The sequence below is a fragment of the Homo sapiens genome, chromosome 10, assembly GCF_000001405.40.
Source record: "Homo sapiens chromosome 10, GRCh38.p14 Primary Assembly".
Classification (NCBI taxonomy): Eukaryota; Metazoa; Chordata; class Mammalia; order Primates; family Hominidae; genus Homo; species Homo sapiens.
Genome location: NC_000010.11, coordinates 90,756,077 through 90,780,302, shown reverse-complemented (window position 1 = coordinate 90,780,302; position 24,226 = coordinate 90,756,077). Strand labels below are relative to the sequence as shown.

Genomic DNA, 24,226 nt, shown 5'->3' with positions numbered 1-24,226 from the left:
TGGCCTCCCAAAATACTGGGATTACAGGCATGAGCCACCGCGCCCGGCCGAATTTTATTTTCTTACTGTTTACTTATGTATTTTTGTAGAGACAGGGTCTTGCTATGTCACCCAGGCTGGTCTTGAACCCTTGACCTCAAGTGATCCTTTGGCCTCAGCCTCTCAATGTGCTGGGATTTCAGGTGTGAGCCACGACACCTGGCCTCATACTTGAAATTTTAAAGGACAAGTGATACACTTATAGAAGCTTGTAATTTTGAGTAAGATAGACAATAACATGATGTGACCAGTGCAATGATATGGACAGAGTTCTAACCTAGCCTGCATGCAGGGCTGGAGGGTGAAGGATGACTGATGGGAATACAGATTAACCAAGAAAAGGGTTGGGGATGGGGTGTCCTAAGCACAGGGGCCACACTACCCTAAAGTATGGAGGTAAAAAATAACATGGAATGTGTGTTAGGCATTTGTGTCGCTCACAAATATTTCCATTTGTCCTCCATCTGGACACGTGACAAATTGCACTTCCCTGCCTCCTTGTGGTTCATCAAGGTTATGCAATGTGAGGAGAAATGACAAATGTTTTTTCTGGGTGAGATCATTTAACTATGGGTGTCAAGTTCTCCAGAGCACTCTTCCCCTGGCCTGGGCATTGTAGGAGTATCTTGACACAGAGAGGTATTACTTAGCCATAGTATGGAGGAGAGCTGGCCTAAAGAGTTGCCTGGACTCAGAGAAGAGGTGACGAGTGAAAAATGTACATTTGTTGTGATTTTGGAGTTGTTTGTGACCAGCCCATAACCTAGCTTCTTTGGACCAGTGCAGTATACGAGAAACAAAAAGCAGGTGGAGGCAGGGAGTCAGCAATGAGGCTGGAGCAAAACGCAGGGTCAGAGCAGGGAAGGCCTTGTCTTCCTTCTTGGGACAGAACATTGCCCACTTCTCACAATCACATCAGGTTTTATTTCTTAGCAGATTTAGAAGTACAGAGAATTCTATTTTGTCATTCCTGGTGATGTTGGTCCCTCTTTCTCTATTTGTCCTAACTTTTCCTCTGTTCTAACATTCTCTGCTCCAAAGGGGGAGAAGGACAAACTGGAAAAATCTTTTAAAAAATCTTCAAGAGGCACTATGTTTCTTCAGGGATGGCTCCTGGGGGCTGTGCAAGGAAACAACACTATGAAGTGGCATGTTTAAAATCCTTCCTCCTGGCCTTTCATCAGTGAGAATCAGGGCAGCAGTTCTCTCCCTTCATGGTGGTTGACTCCCTCAATCTAGCACACTGTGCAGAAAGTTTGGAGTGCCTGATCTCTTCTCCTGATGGGGGTACACCAGCTGGGGGTTATGCAGGAACAAGGCAAAGGTCAGGGTGCCTGAGGCCAAGGAAGACTGTTTTGAAGTTGTATCTGGAGAGTGTTGGGATCAAAGCTAAAAAATTCAAGTTCAGACTTGAGTTGGGAAGAGTAGAGGTAGAAGCAGATCACATGGAAAATAGTATCCAGGAATGGAGACACATTTAGACAGTGGAAGAGACAGGAAAACAGTGAGTGTGGGCAAGTGGAAAGCCACCTAAATTAAGTACAGAGGTAGAGGGTGAGTATATAGTGTATGTTTCTGTGGGAGACCCCACTTCATTTAAAGGAGCCACGTTTGAGCAGTCATAGCAGTGGGACTTTTCGTTTAGTACAGTCTCTGTTTTAGGATGTCTTAGCTTATTTTCTGTTGTTTGTAACATAATACCTAAAACTGGGTAATTTATGAGGAAAAGGAATGTATTACCTACAATTATGGAGGCTGAGAAGTCCAAGGTTGAGGGGTCACATCTGGTGAAGGCCTTCTTGCTGGTAGGGACTCTGCAGAGTCCCCAGGTGGTGCAGAGCATCACTCGGTGAGGGGCTGAGCATGCTAGCTCAAGTCTCTCTTCCTTTTCTTATAAAGCTACCACTTCCACTCCCATAATAATCTATGAATCCATTAACCCATTACCCCACTAATCCATTAATCCATGAATGGATTAATCCATTCATCAGGGCAGAGCCCTCCTGACCCAGTCTTCTCTTAAAGGCCGGACCTTTCAATACTGCCACACTGGGGATTAAATTTCAACATGAGTTTCTGAAGGGACAGACATTCAAACCATAGCACAGGAGGATAATCAAGAGCTCATTATGTCCAGTGGTCTACTCTGCTATGCTGAAATGGCTGGGTGGATAGAGTAATGTCAACATCCTTGTCCTTTGGAATCCATGGTTCAGCTAGTTAGAATCAACTTTAGGGGAAATGGAAGATTGAAGAACTGTAGGAAATTGTAGCCTTGGAAGTGTTCATAGAGGAATTTTCAGCATGGACAGAAGAGGAAGAGATGAAGGGGTGTGTGGGATTTGGGGGTGGTGGATAAGGAAGTGGCATTGTTACATCTTGCTACAGATTTTGATCTCTCATACTGACCCTATGTGCTTTCACTTCCCATCAGCTGTCACAGGACACAGCAATTAAGGACCCAACTCCTTGTTTCCCTGAATTGTGCAATAACCTCATTGTTCACAACTGCTGGTTATCTGGTTTTGTTTAGGATAGCAATGCTTTCAGTTGAGATAGTTGCCTCCCAGCCTCTCTTCGTGCTATGATGGTCAGGTTACACAGCCCTGGCCAGTGAGACCAAAATGAAATTTCTTGCAGGTGGCACCTGGAAAAGTTCTTAAAAATGGACAGACTTGGTTGGCATTATCTTTTGCCTTTTGGCCTTTTGCCTGTCTTCTTGCCTGGAACATGGATGGTGTACCTCTTTTTGTAGGAGGCATCTTTTTTTTTTTTTTTTTTTTGAGACGGAGTCTCTCTCTGTCACCCAGGCTGGAGTGCAGTGGCGTCATCTTGGCTCACTGCAACCTCCGCCTCCCAGGTTCAAGCAATTCTCCTGCCTCAGCATCCTTAGTAGCTGGGATTACAGGCGCCCACCACCACACCCAGCTAATTTTTGTATTTTTAGTAGAGACAGGGTTTCACCATGTTGGTCAGGCTGGTCTCAAACCCCTGACCTCGTGATCCACCCGCCTCAGCCTCCCAAAGTGCTGGGATTATAGGTGTGAGCCACCACGCCCGGCCTGTAGGAGGCATCTTAAGGCCACAGGTAAGTCTTTTAAAAATGGGAATTTAGAAGGATGTTGGGTCCTTTGGGTCGTTGACAGTATTGTAGAGTAAGTGACTATACCTGTCCTGGCCTGCTGACCCTCAGAGGAAAACCTTATTTATTTAAGCCAGTTAGTGAGGCTATTATATTCAGCCCAAAAACATTCCTATCTGATATATACTCACTTATTCTACAGAATTAATTGCTCTCATTTGCCATGCCATAATGAATTCTTGCCAGTCCTCAGCTAACTAAGACCTTCAATTAATTAGATTTTCTTTCCTTTGCCTCTCTGTATGTGGACAGCTATTATGGAATAACAACACTGAGACCGTGTAGCCTTTGTAATCAGCAAAGAAAATTCTATTATAGTCTGTATACCATACTTATCTAAGTGGATATCTACCTAATATATTTTAGAAAGATTTTTCACATTAAGGAGCAAAACATGAATCTTAGGATTCAAAAAAGAAAATGATCTTACTCCCTAAGTATTACTCTTAATCTGATATTTTCCACATAAATATTGGTTTTAAAATTTAAAAAACAGAACAAACTCATGTTCTTTCAACCTATGTGACATGTGAGGTATGAAGTTTAGGAAATTACCTGTATGACTAAATCAAATTTAAATTATAAACTTCAGAGAAAGAAGAAAAGGTTAGAAGCTTCGCATCTTGTCTAAGGTTTATAGAATTTATTCACTTATTAAAGGATATAAAGATTACCTACCTGCTGCTTTCTCAAATAAATATCTGTGAATTAGAGTTGGTCAGCATACATACATATGAGGGTGTATCTGAATTAAAACATTTGAAAATGAAAAGTTAGAGACAGCAGAAGAAGGAAACAGTGTCCATCCAACAGACCTGAGTGATATTGGATATGGAAATTAGCCAGACCTTTCATGATTAAAGTATTTACGAATTTAAGTAGTCAACTATTACAGACATGAAATAGTACTGAGAACAGACTGGGGGAACAAAGAGCAGGTAGACCCTATTGTCTACACCTGCCATATCCTATATGGTAGGCAATAGCCATGTGGGGCTTTTAAAAATTGGAAATGTGACCCATGAGAATTATGATGTGCTGTCAGTGTAAAATATTCACTAGATTTAAAAGAATTTATGCAAGAAATAGAATGCAAACTATCTCTCTAATAATTTTATATGTGGAAATTATATTTAGGATATGTTGTATGAAAAAATATATTATTAAAATTAATTTCACTTGTTTATTTTTACTTCTTTCTTTTACTAGAAACTTCAAAATACACATATGGCTCTCATTTGTGGTTTATGTTGTGTTTCTCTTGGGCAGTGCTGGTCTCAACCAAGTAATTGAAACATTCTCAGAGATACAGAAGAAAGTCAGTGAATAGAAAGCACTGTTCTTGTAACTGAAGAAAAATTGAACTGAGAAAAGCTGTCACAAATTCTTCAAGAATCTACTTTCTAGAATTTTGTCTCTATAGAGTCTGTTATCTACAGAACAGCCTGAGTGAGCACTAAAAAATATGTCAGGCCAAGTCTTCCCCTGCTCAACCCTCCAGGGCTTTCTTAGAATAAAACAAAAGGCCTCATAGTTGCCTGCTGGGCCCTGTGAGGTTTGGCTTCTGACCACTTTGGAATGTATCACTTCCCTTTCCCCTTGCGTGTGTGATGCTGGCCACACTGGCACTTTTGCTGTTTCATGATCATGGCCACATGGTGTTCCCTGTGGGCCTTTGCATGTAGGATTCTCTTCCTCAACATCTTCACACAGCTCCCTCTTTCACCTCTTGCAGGACTCTGCTGGGACAGAGACCTCTCAACTCGCCATCACACCTTACCCCCTCCCTCTATCCCTGTAATTGTCTACACAGCACCGAGCACGGCCTGAAATCACCAAGGATGATGATTTGTTTCCTTGCCTTTATCACCATCCTATCACTATTGCCTCGAAGAGCAGTGGAATGTAGTAGGCCCTCGACTTCAATAAACACATCAATGAATACATGGATGAAATAAGTTTAAGTGAAGCAAACAAAAAGGGAAAATTATTAGAAGGATATACATCAAAATATTAGTAAGACCTATTTCTGAGTGATGAGAGTATGGGTAACTTTAATTTTCTTCTGTTTTCTACCCAACGGCATATCTCATCTTCTTCGTTATTTAGAGAGCTTTATTTTCTTTAGGCAGTCCCTCTGCTGCACGCAGTCATGTTTCACTAAACCACTCAGGATTGTTTTATATTTTGTATATTTTATATTTCTACCTGTGATTCGTTTAAGAATGGGTATGTGATGTATTTCTTACCACTGCGCTATGAGTGGAGGGCTGAAAAGGCCATCTTGGAAAGGTTTCATTTCTTAAAAAGCGATGCTTATGAAGAAAGTTTGTCAGAGTTTTGCTGGTCTTGGTTTGTATGTGATGTTTGCAACTGCAGCAGCCATATTGTGGTCCTGGGGCTGTGGGGCCCATGCACTGAGGATGGCAGAGTAAAAAGATGGAAGGAAACCAAGTCCCTCACCGTGTCATTGGGCTGCCAAATTAACTATTTCAGATCTGTCCTACTTAATAAATCATTCTTATTTGGGCCATTTTGAGTTGAGTTTTCTGAAAAATTTTTCCAGCAAAGTAACTATATATCTGACTGATGCTATGTCATAACAAAATTCACATGAAGCAGCCTCCAAATTATAAACCTGTCAGATAAAACTGCAGAAGTCATAATAAGAGGTACTATTGTAGAATTTCTCCCCAAGGAACAAGCTGGTGACGTAATTAACACAAAATGAGTACTGAGTACTAAGGGAACTGACAACTCCAATAAAGAAGAAATACTTTGAATGATCAATATATTTATATAAAACTTGATTGATAAATATAACAGAAAAGTGGAAAAAGTAGAAAGCTGCTCCCCTTTTCATGTAATCTGTGCTGATTCAGACACATTTGGAGTCTGGAGTTCAATTCTGTAAAAAATTGATGCCATCTTCTGTGGAAAATTCTGATGGTATCATTTGAGCTCCTGGATCAAGATGGGCCTGAAGATAACCTGAGCTTTTTTTTTTATTCAGTGAGCCATTATGTTTGCCATCTTGCTTATTCCTGCTTGAGCTTAGGGTTATATCATCGCTAATGGAAAGGACCTAACTGAACAGAGGATGTGAAAGGAATGTATCACAAATGTCAGCAGTCATATAGTTGGCAGATCGGAAAAAAAAATAGCCTTATTTTCAATTGCTGTAAAAGAAGAACACCTCTGCACTCCCATGTTTGTTGCTGTTGTTATTCACAATAACCAAGATTTGGAAGCAACCTAAGGGTCTATCACCTGACAAATGGATAAAGGAAATGTGGTACATATACGCAATGCAGTACTATTCAACCATAAAAAAAGAAGGAGATTCTGTCCTTTGTAACAATATGAGTGGAATTCGAGGTTATTATGTTAAGTGAAATAAGCCAGGCACAAAAAGGCAAACATCACATGTTTTCACCTGTGGGATCTAAAAATCAAAGCAATTGAACATAGAGAGTAGAAGGATGGTTACCAGCAGCTGGGAAGAGTAGTGGGGGTTGGAGAGCAGGTGAGGATGATTAATGGGTACAAAAAAAAAGAATGAATAAGGCATCCTATTCGATAGTACAACAGGGTGAGTATAGTCAATAGAAACTTAATTGTACATTTAAAAATAACTTAAAAAGTATCAGTAGATTGTTTGTAACACAAAAGATAAATGCTTGAGAGGATGGACACTTCATTGTCCATGATGTGATTATTATACATTGCATGTCTGTATTAGAATATCCTATGTACCTCATAAATATATACACCTATTATGTACCCACAATAATAAAAAAAAAGAATGACACCTATAGAGGAAAATTCATTAAAAGGAGCATTTTTTCTTGACTTAATGTAGAACTTTTAAACACTTGTGACTATCCCACAGTGTAGCTGGTTGCTTCAAGCAGCTGCGACTTCTCTGTCAATGTATGAGTTTGACCGAAAGCAAGGGATGCTTTAAATGGGTATTTCTATACTGAGTTACTGTCAGGGTTTCTGAGTTTTTCCCAACTAGAAATTTCAGTTATTCTTCAACTGGAAATGGAAAATTGGGATTATATGAGAAGAGCATGTGTATGGATATACTTTGTAAATGATTATGTGTGTGTGTATTGGTTAAGAGGAAGCTCTGGAGTGAGAAAACTCATGTTGAAACCTAGTTTTGAGCTTTATTATGTGATGTTGGGAGAGTAAACCTTTCTGAGCCTCAGTTTCCTCATTTGTAAAATAGGGATGATAATAATATCTAGAGGGTTGTAAAGACTGAATCCAGTGCTGTAGATAAACTTTTATCCCAGACCCTGGCATGTTACATATGCTCAGTTAGCTAGTATTTAATAAAAACATGAGGCAGAATTAATTTTGTTCTTGTTCTGCTTTTAGTAATACTTATTCTGGGCATAAAAGGAAAATATATACCATGTTTCATTAAACTTAGACAAAGCAGTTGGGTTTCTGGGTAGATACATGTGTAAAATAATATGACGCCCTCACCACACACACACACTTAGAAATGGACGGTAAGTTTATTAGCTACAATTTTAAATTCTGGAAGATTTTTGCTTTATTTTAAAGATACGTCATGTGAAAAGGGACTACAAGGAAATAGGAGATAAATAGCAGCATCCTTTGAACCGAACTTGTGTGGTTTTTTAATGGCTAATATGTTAAATGGGAGAGGTAGAAGAGAAGAAAAATCTCCACTCTTATTGATAAATTTTTTATTTCCTAGAAGAAAAGTAAGACATTGAAATTATTAGACTATAACTAATGGCTCATATAGGCTACTACTATTGAATATTATTTACATCTATTATAATGATTCCATTTTAAAAGAAAAACATCAAAAGGATATGAGGATAAAGGATTAGAATGAAAGATGATAATAAATAATAAACTCTATATCTAATGACTATTTGCTTTTTTGAAAGTATTAAGTAAGAGTAAAAATTATGCTGCTATGACCTAGGGTTTTATTTTTAGAAATTTGACTACTGTCTGAATATAGTACGCTTAATAAATTTTATGGTAATTTTGTCATTGATTTTCTACTTCAACTAACTTCCTAAATACTTGTATACATAAATGGCTTATAGTTCTGACCAAAAGGGATTTTTTTCCTAAAAAAAAAGTTATTTTAAAAAATTTACCTTGAAAGTTAGGTATCTTTTACTTTTTTTTCCCTCTATTTCCTTTCCCTTTTAATCTCTCATTTTGTTATAGGATTTTTGGGTTGTCATTTCTCTGGCTGGAAACCTCTGTCTGGTGGTGCGTTTGCCTGAGTTTTGCTTGGGGCTGCTGTTCTTGTTCTGCCCACTCGGCCTGGCAGGCTGCACTTGGCTTGTGCTACCAGCCTGGATCCCACACCTTCAAGGGAGATTGTGAGTCAGGTGTGGAGTGGTGAGGGGTGTGTGAGTGAATGTGGGGTCTGGCCACTGCACAGTCAGACATGCTGGCTGCTGCCATGGGGCAGGCAGCTCCAGGTGCTGGCATGGGCGTCAGCTCTCTGGGAGGCTGTGGCTGGACCAGGCACACTGCAAGCAGCTTCCCTGGCTGGCATTGGGGAATGTGGTGGCACCCAGAAGCTTGAGGACACCAGGAATCACAGGTCTCAAAGAGGGAGTCACAGCCCTGGCTCAGGGAGCTCCTCAGGTCTGGTCTCCCCAAAGGGCCACAGCTCTTCTCTCCTTCTCTTTGCCTGCAACCTGGTGAGCAGTGGGTATGTTTCAGCCCTGTTTGTGTTATAGCAGCTCTTTTAGCCTCGCCATTTGGTGGGTCCTGAGTTATTGTTCTGCAAACAGGAAGAATGAGGTATGCGGACAAGTGAAGGGTGAGCAAGACGAAGAGGAGCTTTACTGAGCAATAGAACAACCAGCAGAGACCCACAGGGTGCAGCTCCTTTCTAAGGCCAGGGTGTCCCATTGAGTGTTCAGCTCCTAGCAGAGAGGGTAGCTCCTCTTTGCAGGCAGGTCTTCCCAACAAGTGTTTGGCTCCCAGCAGAGAGGGTAGCTCCTGTCTGCAGCTGGTCATCCCGATGAGTGTTCAGTTCTCAGCAGAGAGGGTAGCTCCTTTCTGCAGCTTGTGGTCCTGCCATCCCTTCTGCTCTGGCTGAGCCTGGGGCTTTTATGGGCCTCAGATGGGAGGAAGTGTGTGCCCATTAGTCCATGGGTGGCCATGGGTGGGTCTGAAAAAGGCACCACAAGTTCCCATCTCAGTCCGTGTGGGACTGGCAGCGTGAGCCCCAGTCTTCAGGCCCTCCCTGGCCCGAAGGTGGGGCCTCACTGGGAACCCACCGCCTTCTGCCCAGGAGCCTTTCTGCCTCCTGCTAGGGTCCATGGCACCCAGGCTGCTTGGGCCAAGGGGCACCTGCAGGCCAGTGCCGAGCTGCCCTCAGCACCCACCTTGGCTTCCCTGCAGTGCTTGTTGGTGCCCAATGTCTAGAGAGGGCCAGGGCGACAGGGGGCTGGCATGTCAGTGCTGTCCTGAGTGTGAGCACACCTGGCTGGGCTGTGACAGTGCCCGGGCTCGGCCCCAATCCCGCTCTGAGATGGGAGCAGGCACTGGGAGTGGGGAGAGGCCAGGCAGCAGGAGCAGACAACCCAAGGGGTTGGTGGGCCTTCTGGGCCCCTGAGGATACAGAGTCAGAGACCCCAGGTCCTGTGCCTGGGAGGGTGGGAGCCCCGCCCTCTCCATGGAGCCTGCAGGCAGCCCAGGCTATGCCTCCTTGCAGCCTGGGGTGGGGCCTCCAGGTCCTCTCTGGGCTCCTCTCTGCCTGCCCCTCCGTGCCCAACTGTGCTGCTCCAGTGCTGGCAGGTAGCTCGGCTCAGCCCTGTCGCAGTGGCCCCCAGGGCAGCAGGCTCTCAGAGGGTCCCTCTTATCCCTGGCTCCCTCCAGCTCCATGGAGCGCAGCACCATCCTGGGCCCAGCTCTGCCTCCTTCCCGTGCCCTCCCTGCAGGTGCCCTCCCCGCAGGTGCGGTATGCTAGAATGGTCATGCTGGGCCAGGGCTTCAGAGTCCTGGAGGCTGTGGGCCTGGGGGCAGGTTCCGTCTGGCTGCGCAAGGGTGGGTGCAGAGCAGTCAGCTGCCTTGGGGATGCGGGGCACAGGGGTCCAGCCACTGCCACTGCTGCTCCCGCAGCGGCTCCTGCTGCCACCACTCGCACCTCCTTGCTGCAGCCAGCGTGATGGCAGCGGCTGCTCTGGACTGCCTGCTGCTGCTGTCAATTTTGTTGCCTGTAAAAGGGATTTTCAGTTTTATTTATTTTTGTCAGTAATTTAAATAATAATAGTTTTATTTTTGTCAATAATGTTTGTTATTTTGGCAACTGGTTTTGCTGTTAAAGTTTTTGCTTTGGATTTTGGAATCTAATTTTTTAAATTCCTTTTCTAGGTTGGAATATATAATTGATTTTCTAATTCTAAAAATTCTTTTGTTCATTTATCCTCATGGCTATTTTAAAGTGCATATTTGGTTATAGTTGTAAAGTCTAAAGCTTATTATTTAAACTTTAAACCAGAAAATAATTTTGATAAGTATATAAGGATTTGTATTTTACTCTATTTTAGTGGAAATATATGAACATTTGTGATAGGCCTCGATCAGATAAGCAATTTAATTCAGAAAGAAAACACATTGAAAATATGCATACATATGCACATATAACATGCATTTAAATATTAAACACGTTTGTTAGTTGATTGCTTTGGGGGAAGATTAATGGAAATGGGCAAATTAATTAACAATTATCAAAAGTAATGAATAGGAAAGAGAGTATAGAGTAAATTTAATCCCAAACTTTCCATACGACTTCCTTAAGAAAGAGAAATGGTCTTATCAAAGTATGAAATATGGAGACAAATGTCTTACTCAAAGCTTACCCAGGTGCCACAGTTTTATATGCTTTTAAAAACTTGAATATGGATGGATTTAGATTACTATGCATGGTATCCTTACAGTTAGAAGTAAAATGTTTACATTCAAATAATTCAGCAATTGAGGAAATTTGAGGAAGCTCTTCTTTTCTGCAAAGATGGCTCTGGGACACACACCCTTAGTAATTGCAGGATTTTTTTTGGAACGTAGTGCTGTGGGCTGTAGTAATCAAAGTGTTCTTGGCTAGTGGGAGGAATCATCAGTACTGTGCTGTTTCAGTGGTACCTTCTGTAACTGAACACGAGCCTTGGCCAACAACATTCTTCCTTTTCTTCAAAGGCCAACTGAAGGACTGACAGCCACTAAGTTTTAGGGTTCACATTACCGAGGAAGAAGTTGGAGTTGTTTTATTCTTTATGTTTGATCTTTCTCATCTGAAGTGTGGATTTCATTTTGTCCTTGATTGGTGGACATGAGAATAAGAATGATGTGAATATCATTTGAATTCATTTATCCCATTGCTTATTTATTACTGGATAAATGAATGATGGCAAAGTCCCACAATTTAATACTTGCAGTTTTAAAAAAGCATGAGGGAGCTCTTGATGCACTAGTATGGAAGTATCTTGAGGATATATTAAGTGAAAAAAGCAACATGCAGAAGAGAGTATCCAGTATGCTATCTTACATTTAAGAAAGAGGGAGATAAGAACATATTTGTATTTGCTTGCATTTGGACAAAGAAAAGATGAAGGGCACACAAGATTTTAATAAAAGTGATACATATTGGAGGTGGGGGATGAAGAGGATGGAAACAGAATTTGAAGCAAGGTTTCTCAATATATGCCTTATATATCTTCGAAGTGTGTGAAAATGTTTCATATTTGATGAAATAAATAACATTAAAAGAAAGATCACCCTGGATACCTGAGGATAATGGGTTAGGAAGGAGAATAGTAGTTGCGAGGGAACCAATTTAGAGGCTATTGCAATACTTGCGGACAGAGAATGATTCTTAAATGATGGCAATGGAGACAGAAAAGTAGATAGGTTTTAGAGATATTGAGGAGGTAACATAGGCAGAGCTGGGTTAAGATGGTGAATGAGAAGGACTCTTAGATTTCTGGGACAGACTCACTAAGTTGGGGAAATGGAAGGATGTTCAGTTTTGTGGAGATGATATATTTGGACATGTCGAGATGGTGCCAGACTTATAGAAGTGTTTAATAAAAACTTGTTAGAGGAAGGAGTGAATAAGACACTTTAAAGATACCCAAGTAGAGATGTGAAGGAGGCAGTCGATTCATGGGTCTGGAGCTCCAAGGGGAAGTCTTGGCTGGGATCCAAATTTTGGGATAATCTAAGAAGCTTCCACCTTTACTGCTTGGAAAACTCCCCCTGGGAAGCCAGCTGATACATAAGAAGTCTGTCGTGCTCTGAGGAAGCCTAGGCTAACTATGCTAAGAAGGAAAGCATAATTGGGGAAGCACTGAGAATGTGAGTGAAGCATCCTACAGCCCAACCAAATACCAGCTAAATGCAGGGGGAATTTTCCAAGCAGTAAAGGTGGAAGCTGCACATCTCTTAAGGGTCAGCCTCAGAAGTCACATGGCATCACTTGCTGTACTCTCTGTTGGTAAAAACAAGTCACAAGGCCAGCCCAGAATAAAGAGAAGGAGAAAAATTTATCTATCAAAGAGGGATGGCAAAGAATATATGGCCATATTTAGTCCACCACAGCTCATTGGGAGATTATACCGTTAGGATGCATAGAACTTTCTCCCAACATTTACTTAATAAACTAAGAAGCTAACGAGAATTCATAGTGCAAAGATAATTTGCAAAAATTTCAGAGAAATTGAATATGGTTGAATCAGCTGTTAATTCCAAACTTGCCAAGTTCATGAAGAGATTTATATAAAGAAGGACTAATTGGCAGACAAATGAAATTAATGGCTGAAATTATAATTTTAAAGTAGGGTTTACCCCTAGGCCCCACCTAACCAGGGAGCTCAGCCAGCAACCCCACCCATCTGTGGAACCCAGCCTATGACCCCACTGAGCAGAGAGCCAATCCAGTAGCCCTATTCAATTGAGGAACAAAGCCCGTGACCTCATCCCACCCTGCCTGGCCATGGAGTCCAGCCTAAGGCTCTTCCCAATTGCTGAGCACAGCTTGTGGGTAGAGTCCAGCTAGTAGCCCCGCCAGACCAGGGAGCCCAGCCAGTGGCCCTGCTTGACTTCGGATCCCAGGCAGGAAACCCAGCCAGCTTTAGAGTACCTGCAGTGGCCCCACTCAACTAGAGATCGCAACAGGAAGCTCTGTCTGTCTGTCAATGCTACCAGTTGGCCTGTCAAGAACCATAGGCTGGACTGAGTAGTGAAGTTCTTTCCCTGCCAAAGTGAACCTATAAAGGTTTGAAGAGATGACTGTAGAGTTTTATGTGCAGTGGAAGTTAAGTTGTTATCAGCTTAAATTAGGGTGATGCTATAACTATAAGATATTTTATGTAATCCTTATGGTAAACACAAAGGAAAGACCTGTAGTAGATACACACAAGATAAAGAGAAAAGAAAGTATACCACCACTACAAAAAATCTTCAGGTTACAAAGGAAGACAGCAAGAGAGGAAGAATGGAATAAAGGAACTACAAAACAGGCAGAAAACAGCGAACAAAATGGCAGTGGTGAATGTTTACCTATCAATATGTAATTTCAATGTACATGGATTAAATTCTCCACACACAAAAGACATAGAATGGCTGAATGGATAAAAAATAAGAGCCAATAACATGCTGCCTACAAGAGACTCACTTGAGCTTTAAGGAGACACATGGGCTGAAAGTGGGATGGAAAATGGGATGGAAAAAGATATTTCATGCAAGTAGTACCAAAAGAGAGTAGCAGTGGATCCACTTATATCAAACAAAATAGACTTTATGCCAAAACAATCACAAGAGACAAAGAAGGTCATTATGCAATGATAAAGAGGTCAATTAATCAGGAAGATACAACAATTTAAATATTTATGCATTTAACATTGGAACACCTAAGTATATAAAGCAAATACTAATAGAATAGAAGGGAGAAATAAACAGCAATACAATAATAGTAGGGGACTTAAATATCCTACTCTCAACAATGAATAAATCATCCAAGCATAATATCAATAAGGAACCCCAGATATGAGCAGAACTGTAGGCCAAATGGACCTAACAGACATATACAGAACATTCCACCTGGCAGCAGCAGAATATACATTCTTCTCAAGCACACACAGAACATTTTCCAGGATAGATCATATGTTAGGCCACAAAATATGCTTCACAAATTCAAGAAGATTAATATCATATCAAGTATCTTTTCTGAACACAGTGGTATGAAACTGGAAATCAATCACAATAGTAAAAGTGGAAAATTCACAGCTATGTGGAAATTAAACAACATAGTTCTGAACAACCAATGGGTCAAAGAAGAAATGTAAAGAGTAATTGAAAATTCTGAAACAAACAAAAATGGAAACACAACATACCAAAACTAACAGGATGCCATGAAAGTATTTCTAAGAGAAAGGATAGGAATAAACACCTACATGTTAAGAAAAAAAGAAAGAACCTAAATAAACAATGCAACTTTATATGTCAAGGAATTATGAAATAGAAAAAGGCCAAATTTAGCAGGAGGAAGGACATAATAAAGATCAGAGCAAAAAAAAAAATGAAATAGACTAGATGAACAGTAGTAAAGACTAACAAACCAGAGCTAGTTTTTTTTGGAAAAGATAAATCAACAAACCATTAACTAGACTAAGAATGAGAGGGAATAATTAAATAAATCAGAAATGAAAGAGGATACATTAAAACTGATGTCACAGAAATACAAAGGATCATAAGAGACTATGATGAATAATTATAAAGTAACTAATAGGGATACTTCTAGGGGTAGCCTAGAAGAAATGGGTAAATTGCTAGAAACATACAAGCTATCAAAACTGAATTAGGAAGAAAGAGAAAATCTGAACAGACCAATAACTAGTAAGTCAATTGAATCAATAATAAAAAACCTCCCAACAAACTAAAGTCCAGAGCCAGATGACTTCACTGGGGAATCTACCCAACATTTAAGGAAGAGTTAATGTGAATTATTCTCAAACTCTTCCAAAAAGTTGAACAGGAAGGAACACTTCCAAATCCATTTTATGAGGCTAACATTACCTTGATACCATAGTTGGATGAGGACTGTATGAGAAAATAAAATTATAGGCCAATATCTCTGATGAACATAGATGCAACAATCCTCAGCATAATATTAATACTAGCAAAAGATGGTCCAATATATGCAAATCAATAAATATGATACACCACATTAGCAGGAGGAAAGATAAAAATAATATAATTATGTCAGCAGATGAATAAAAAGCATTTGACACAATTCAACATCCTTTTAGTTAACATCATACTCAGTGGTGTAAAGCTGAAATTGTTTTCTTTAATATTGGGAATAAGACAGGGTTGTCCACTCGCACCACTTCTGTTCAACATAGTGCTGGAAGTCCTAGCCATACTAATTAGGCAAGAAAAAGAAATAAAAAGCATTCAAATTAGAAAAGAAGAAGTAAAATTGTTTCTGTTTTCAGGTGACATGATGATCTTATATGTAGAAAACTCTAAAGACTCCACTGAAAAAAAACTGTACCAAAACTCTGCCAAAAACTAAGAACTAATAAGTGAATTTAGTAAAGTTGTGAGATACAAAAGCAACACATACAAATTAGTTGCATTTCCATAGAGTAATAACAAACTATCTGAAAAAGAAAGCCACAGAGTGATCAGACAACTTACAGAATGGGAGAAAATTTTTGCAATCTACCCATCTGACAAGGGTCTAATATCCAGAATCTACAAGGAACTTAAACAAATTTACAAGAAAAAAACAAGCAACCCCATCAAAAAATGGGCAAAGGATATGAACAGATACTTCTCAAAAGAAGACATTATGTGGCCAACAAACATAGGAAGAAAAGCTGCACATCACTGATCATTAGAGAAATGCAAATCAAAACCACAATGAGATACCATCTCCAGCCAGTCAGAATGGCAATTATTAAAAAGTCCAAAAACAATAGATTCTGGTGAGCCTGTGGAGAAATAGGAATGCTTTCACACTGTTGGTGGGAATGTAAATTAGTTCAACCATTGTGGAAGACAGTGTGGCGATTCCTCAAGGACCTAGAAGCAGAAATACCATTTGACCCAGCAATCCCATTACTGGGTATATACCCAAAGGAATATAAATTATTCTACTATAAAGACACATGCACACATATGTTTACTGCAACACTATTTACATTAGTAAAGACCAACCCAAATGCTCGTCAATGATAGACCGGATAAAGAAAACGTGGTACATATACACCATGGAATACTATGCAGCCATAAAAAAGAATGAGATCATGTCCTTTGCAGGGACATGGGTGAAGCTGGAAGCCATCATCCTCAGCAAACTAACACAGGAAAGAAAACCAAACACTGCATGTTCTCACTCATAAGTAGGAGTTGAACAGTGAGAACTCATGGACACAGGGAAGGGAACAACACACACTGGAGCCTGTTGGGGGATGGGGGGCAAGAGGAGGGAGAGCATTAGGAGAAATACCTAATGCATGTGGGCCTTAAAACCTAGATGATGGGTTGATAGGTGCAGCAAACCACCATGGCACATGTATACGTATGTAACAAACCTTCATGTTCTGCACACGTATCCCAGAACTCAAAGTAAAATTTAAAAATGACTAAGTTTTATCTATGCATCTTATAAAAAAAGAAATAAAACAATTCCAATTATAGTAGCATCAAAACCAATAAAATCCTTAGGAATAAATCTAACCAAGAAGGTGAAAGATGTTAGGTACTGAAATCTATAAGACATTGATGAAGGAAATTGAAGAAGACACAAATAAATGTCTAGATACCCCATGTTCATGGAGTAGAAGAATTCATATTGTTAAAATGCCCATAAAATCCAGCACAATCTACAAATTCAATGCAACTCCTATCAAAATTCCAATGGCATTTTTCACAGAAACAGAAAACAATCCTAAAATTCATATGGAATCAGAAAAGACCCCAGACAGACAAAGCAATCATGAGAAAGAAGAATAAAGCTCGAGGCATCACATTTCCTCATTTAAAACTATATTACAAAATGGTACTGAAAACAATATGGTACTGGCATAAAAACAGACACATAGATCAATGTAACAGAATTGACAGCATGGAATCCATGGAAACCTCCACATACACGGTCAACTTATAATGGACAAGGATGCCAAGAGTGCACAATGGGGAAAGAATAGTCTATTCAATAAATGATGCTGAAAAAACTATATCCACATGTAAAAGAATGAAATCCAATCCTTATCTTACACCACTCCCAAAAATTAACTTGAAATTGCTTAACGATTTAAATGTAGTATCTGACACCATAAAACTCCAAGAAGAAAACACCGGGTAAAAGCTCCTTTATATCGATATTGGCAGTGATATTTTTGAACATAACACCAAAGGACAAGCAACAAAAGCAAAAATAAACAAATGGGACTACATTAAAATAAAAACCTTCTTCACATAAAAGGAAACAGTTAACAACATGAAAAGGCCATGTACAGAATGGGAGAAAATATTCAGAAACCATGTATCTTATGAGAGGTTAATACTCAAAATATTTAAAGAACCCATATCACTCAACAACAAAAACCCATATAATTCCATTAAAAATGGGAAAAGGACCTGAATAGACATTTTTCCAAAGAAGACATACATATGGACAACAGGTACATGAAAAGGTGCTCAACATCACTTATCATCAGGGAAACATAAACAGAACCACAATGAGCGATCACCTCACACTTTTTGGGATAGCTGTTATCAAAAAGACAAGAAATAACGAGTGTTCGTGAGGATGCTGAGAAAAGGGAACCCCTATGCACTTGTTGGTGAGAATGTAAGTTAGTACAGCCTTTATGGAAAACAGTATGGAGGTTCCTTAAAAAATAAAAATACAACTAACTGCCATATGATCCAGTGCTTCTACTTCTGGGTATATGTCCAAAGGAAATGAAGCTAGTATGTTGAAGAGATATCTGCACTCCCATGTTAATAGCCCACTATTTACTATAGCCAAGCTATGGAAGCAATCTAAGTGTCTGTCAAGGGATGAGTGGATAAAGAAAATGTGGTATATATACACAATAGAATATTTTTCAGCTACAAAAGAAGGCAATCCTGCCATTTGCAATAACATAGATGAACCTTCAGGGCATTATGCTAAGTGAAATAAGTCAGATAGAGAAAGACAAATACTGCATAATCTCATTTGTTTGTGGAATCTAAAAAGTCAAACTCAGAAAGAGAGAGTAGCATGGTTGTTGGCAGGGGGATGGGGATGTGGGAAATGGGGATATGTTGGTCCAAACTTTTAGTTGTAGGATAAGGTATGGGAATCTAATGTACAGCATGGTGACTATAGTTAACAATAGTGTATTGTATACTTGAAATTTGCTAAGAGAGTAAACCTCACCACACACACACACACACACACACACACACACGCATACACACAAAATGGTAACTATGTGAGGTAATAGATGTGTTACCTCACATAGTAACACATCTATGTGGCCCATAGATGGCCACACGCTTGTGACGAGGAGGCCTGATTGCATCCTTAAAGACATCTACATGCCTGGAAAGATCCAGAAGCCTCCTTCACTAACTGAAACACTTGAGTTAAAATCCTGGAAGAGTCCATCAGAGTTCCATTCTGTACCTAACTTTACTGTGGTAATCATTTCACAATATATATGTATATTAAAAAAGAGAAAGTGATAAGGTAGAAACAGTCCAAAAAGAAAAAATAAAGCTTTGCAGTATTTTAGAGTAATTCTTTAATTTTTTGAAAACTGTCTGTGCTCATTATGAAAATTCAATTATAAAAAATATGAAGAAGAAAACAAATCATCTAAACTGTTAGGCAGAAAAATAAAATAAATAACATGTAGTAAGTATCATTTTAGATGTTTCTTTATGCTTATGTCCACTTAGGAGGATGGCTGGCTAGCTGGTTAGTTGATTCAATGACAGGTAGATAGAAAGTTGATTGATTAAAAAATTTATAAAAATGATATCACACTATACATGTTATTTTAACAAAATATTAAAACTAAGTTTACTTGAATTTAAAACAAGAAAAATAAACTGAAGTAGAACTTTCAGTCAGAGCTACTATTTTTTCATTTAATTTTTTTGACACATAATAATTGTACATATTTATAGGGTACGTGTTTATTTTATTTTATTTTTTTGAGACAGAGTCTCACTCTGTTGCGCAGGCTGCAGTTCAGTGGCGCAATCTCGGCTCACTGCAACTTACACTTCCCGGGTTCAAGCAATTCTCCCTCCTCAGCCTCCCAAGTAGCTGGGATTACAGATGCCCACCACCACGCCTGGCTAATCTCCTGTATTTTTAGTACAGATGGGGTTTCACCATGTTGGCCAGGTTGGTCTCAAACTCCTGACCTCAGCTGATCCACTTGCCTTGGCCTCCCAAATTGCGGGGATTACAGGTGTGAGCCAGTGCGTCCAGCCCATATTGATGTTTTGATACATATAATGTATAGTGATCAGATCAGGGTAATTAACATATCCATAATCTCAAACACTTATCATTTCTTTGCATTGGGAATATTTTCGATACCCTCCTTCTAGCTATTTGAATCTATATATGCATTGTTAACTATAGTCATCCTACAATGCTATAGAACACTAGAACTTGTTCCTCTTATCTAGCTTTAATTTTGTATCCTTTAACAAATCTTTGTATATCGTTCTTTCCTCCTACCCTTCCCAGCCTCTGTTATCCTCTGTCCTCCTTTTTACTCCTATGAGATCAACTAATTTTAGAGTGAGAACATGTGGTGTTTAACTTTCTGTACCTGGCTTATTTCACTTAATGTCTTCCAGTTTCATTCATGTTTCTGTGAACAACAGGCTTTCCCTCTTTTTATGGCTGAATAGTATTTAATTGTGTATATACACCACACTTTCTGTCTCCATTAAACTGTTGTTGGACACCTAGGTTGATTCAATATCTTGGCTATTGTGAATAGTGCTACAATAAACGTGGGGATGCAGATGTCCCTTTGATATACTGATTTCCTTTCCTTTGTACAGCACTAATTTTAAGAGGTATCTGTTCCTGAAAGATTGTGTAAAGATTATGGGAAAATATGAAAGCCATCAGGAGGTTGGATTTGTATAAACTATATGTTACAATTTTAAAATGTTACAACTTTAGGCAGTATCAGTTGATCTCTACTTTGAAAGTTGAATTGATTAGTGCTCTAACACTGTATCCTACCTTGCTTCCCCCCAGCTCCTGATTCTTGTGGCTTATATTATTTTTACTTTGTAAAATTTACATTCTGTTATGCTAATATAATTCCCATAGGTGTTACTGTTGCATTTAAACAAGTTCAGTAATAGCCATTGTTTCCCTGGTTTTTTTTTTTTTTTTTTTTTTTTGAGACAGAGTCTCGCTCTGTCGCCCAGGCCGGACTGCGGACTGCAGTGGCGCAATCTCGGCTCACTGCAAGCTCCGCTTCCCGGGTTCACGCCATTCTCCTGCCTCAGCCTCCCGAGTAGCTGGGACTACAGGCGCCCGCCACCGCGCCCGGCTAATTTTTTGTATTTTTAGTAGAGACGGGGTTTCACCTTGTTAGCCAGGATGGTCTCGATCTCCTGACCTCATGATCCACCTGCCTCGGCCTCCCAAAGTGCTGGGATTACAGGCGTGAGCCACCGCGCCCGGCCTTTCCCTGGTTTTAAATTCTTCATTTTGATTCATTTTTAGTTGGATGGATTTTATTTCCTCCCCCAAAATAGGGTTTATGGGCACTTTACTCTTCAAGTTCTTTCATGTTTGAGAATGTCTACTTCTTAGCTTTATAATCTTAGATAACAGGCATAATGCTATTTCACTTTTTTTTTTTTTTTTTTGAGACAGAGTTTCACTCTTGTTGCCCAGGCTGGAGTGCAATGGCACGATCTCGGCTCACCGCAACCTCCACCTCCCGGGTTCAAGCAATTCTCCTGCCTCAGCCTCCCGAGTAGCTGGGATGACAGGCATGTGCCACCACGCCCAGCTAATTTTGTATTTTTAGTAGAGACAGGGTTTCTCCATGTTGGTCAGGCTGGTCTCCAACTCCCGACCTCAGGTGATCTGCCCACCTCAGCCTCCCAAAGTGCTGGGATTACAGGCATGAGCCACCACGCCCGGCCGCTATTTCACATTTTATACACTCAATCTTTCTAGACATTTTCTATTATATTTTGGCATGGAATTCTGCTGTTGAGAATCAGCCTGATTTTTTTTCTACCTTGCATATTTTCTGATTTTTTTTTCTTTCCCAAATGCCTGCAGTGGTCTTTCCATGTCTTGAAGTTCAATAACTTTACTAGGATAAGTATCATGGATAATAATTCTATATCGCTTTTTCCCAACTATGTTATGTGTCCTTTTGCTGGTAAGATTCAGCTCTTTCACTGATTCAAGGAAAATGTCCTAAATTATATCACTGTATACTTTTTACATGTTGCAGCTCTATTTACTTAAACAATTTCCCCCCTACTTGTTAGGTACTTTTCTTCAGGGAGATGTTATTATTATGTCTTATCTTTGTGTGTTCTCCTTACCTGTCACCTTCTAATTGCTTGAATAAATTTTGAATAAATTTTTCCATATGCATTGATATGATTACCTCAAGCCTTTTTACTTCATGCCATTGATTTGCTTTTCAGGTGTGTCTGTTTCTTTTCTTTCCTTTCCTTTTTTTTTTTTTTGAGACAGAGCCTTGCTTTGTCGCCCAGGCTGGAGTGCAGTGGCACGATCTCTGCTCACTGCAACCTCCGCCTCCTGGGTTCAAGCGATTCTTCTGCCTCTGCCTCCTGAGTAGCTGGGACTACAGGCCAGCGCCACCACGCCCAGCTAATTTTTGTATTTTTAGTAGAGACAGGGTTTCACCGTATTGGCAGGGTGGTTTCGAACTCCTAACCTCGTGATCCGCCCTCCTTGGCCTCCCAAAGTACTGGGATTACAGGTGTGAGCCACTGCACCTGGCCAGGTGTGTCTGTCTGTTTCTATTCTCAGCTCCTGCTCATTCATCCATTAGATCTGCCCTGATGATGTTCTGGCCTCAATTTATTTTCTTAACTTAGCAGTCTCTTTTTATCTCATTCTGCTGTTTTAACATCTTTGAGCCTCTACTTCAGTGATCACATATATTTATTAAGGTCTCTTACAGTGAAAAGTACTTTTAGGAAAACAACTTCTATTCTGAATGTTATGTTTGCCTTTTGACTTGGTTCTTCAAGTCTTAGCCATGTTCTCTTTCTTTCTTTTTTCCTTTCATTGTTGTTATTGTTGGAGCATGTTTCTGTAGTTGCTGTAACAGTTTAATCTTGCTCATTCTTAATATGAGTTGTTTATTTAAACCCTAATGTTTGTTCTCACATACTGTGGTTGAATTTTCATCGATATTCTGCCTTATTTGATATGCTATTTTTCTCTTTTTAGGCTAGTATTTAGTGCATCTACTTTTCAGTTGCCCGGAAGTGTAGGGTTGCGGGGAAAGGAAGGGAGTAGATTCTACCGCAGCTGAGTGAAGTTTGTTAAGGAGGATTACTCTTTACTCTGAATACTCATTAGATGTCCTGGACCAGACAACATCCCGCTAAGCTCAGGATTTACCAGTCTTCTGGAAGTTGGCATACTCCCCTGGTTGAGCTCAGTGTCCTGAAAGATGACAAGTTCTGTTGGCCCTTAACTCTGCTAAAATGGTATGTGGGGCTTCTGCTCTTCATGGCTTTTCAGTACTTTTCTTTAGGTTGTCTTCTCACCCTCTTGATTTGCTTCTCCCCAGTATGAAGGTGTTATTTGGAATTTTAAGGATTTACTCACCCTGTTTCTTGAGTACTGCTTCTATGGGATGGGGTTGAAAGCCACACAGAACCATCATAAAACAGAATATTTTCCTTTCTTTTCCTGCCTCTAACCTTTAAAAAGTTTTTAGCTAAGGTTTTATGCCATTCATTTCTTTTATTATTGCTGATAAATTTTGGTTCTTTCTTTGCTGCCATCCCCGCCCCCTTTTTCTGAGGAATAAAAGGCCAAATTCTTTGGAAAATTTAGTTTATTGTGAATCCATATACAACTGAAGTAATTAACAAGTATAATTCAGGGGTCATTACTATTTCTCACACTATTCATTTTCATGACTTTGTATAATTGTCTAAAAATCCTTTAATAGACATGTATTTTTCTTTTTCTTTTCTTTTCTTTTTTTTTATGACAGGGTTTTCCTTGGTGGTGTTTTAAGCCACTAAAGTGTGGTAATTAGTTATGTAGCAACAGTTAACAAATATAATATATGAATTTTTACAGGCACTTTTAGAATTAAGTGACTTATTTTATTTTAATTAAATCTGATTTTCTCTCTTAAGGGAAACTCTCTTTTTTGTTTAATAATAATATCCTTTCTCAAAGAGGAGGCTTTGCTACTGTGTTTCCAAACTTGGTTGAATTTTGTTGCTTTCTTCCCCCCTCTCTCTTTTATCTACTTCTCTCCCTCAATGCTGAGGGCAGAATAAGGAATTTAAGTTGTTTATTGTTCCTAACTGTAAGTGTAGCTTAGAAACACTGATGGAAATGGTTTAAAAGTGTATTGGAACCCCACTGTAACATTGGTTTTAGAGAACAGGTTAGCATCTAGGTTAATGGCAAATGATAAGTTCAGTGTATTGTTAAAAATTTACTTTTAGTATTTAAAAAAACCTGATTTACATACATCCGGAACACTGCACAAATCATAACTGAATAGCTCACTTACTTTCTACAAGGTGAGCATACCTATGTAACACACCCAGAGGAAGAGAAAGAACATTTTCAGAACTCCAAGCTTTCCTCCTGCACCCTCATTGCTTAGGACTTCCTCTTCCCCGGAGGTAACTGCCATTCTGGCTTCTGTCACCAGCAGCTAGTTTTGCCTGGTTTTGAATAGTATGTTCTTTTTTGTTTTTTAGCTTCTTTAGCTCGAGCTTATGTTTGTGAAA

The 24,226-nt window shown here is 39.7% G+C and overlaps 1 protein-coding gene across 4 annotated transcripts in view; it reads left to right on the top strand.

Annotated features, from left to right (window-relative positions):
• Positions 1 to 24,226, top strand: part of HTR7 (5-hydroxytryptamine receptor 7) — a 117,217-nt gene that overhangs the window by 77,737 nt on the left and 15,254 nt on the right. The window contains exon 1 of one of the 4 annotated variants that reach the window (XM_024447973.2): positions 3,107 to 3,127. The exons of the other annotated variants lie outside the window; for them this stretch is intronic. The gene's annotated coding sequence lies outside the window, so the exon portion shown is untranslated. Of the gene's footprint in view, positions 1 to 3,106; positions 3,128 to 24,226 lie in introns of those variants that run through there. 4 annotated transcript variants of the gene reach the window in all.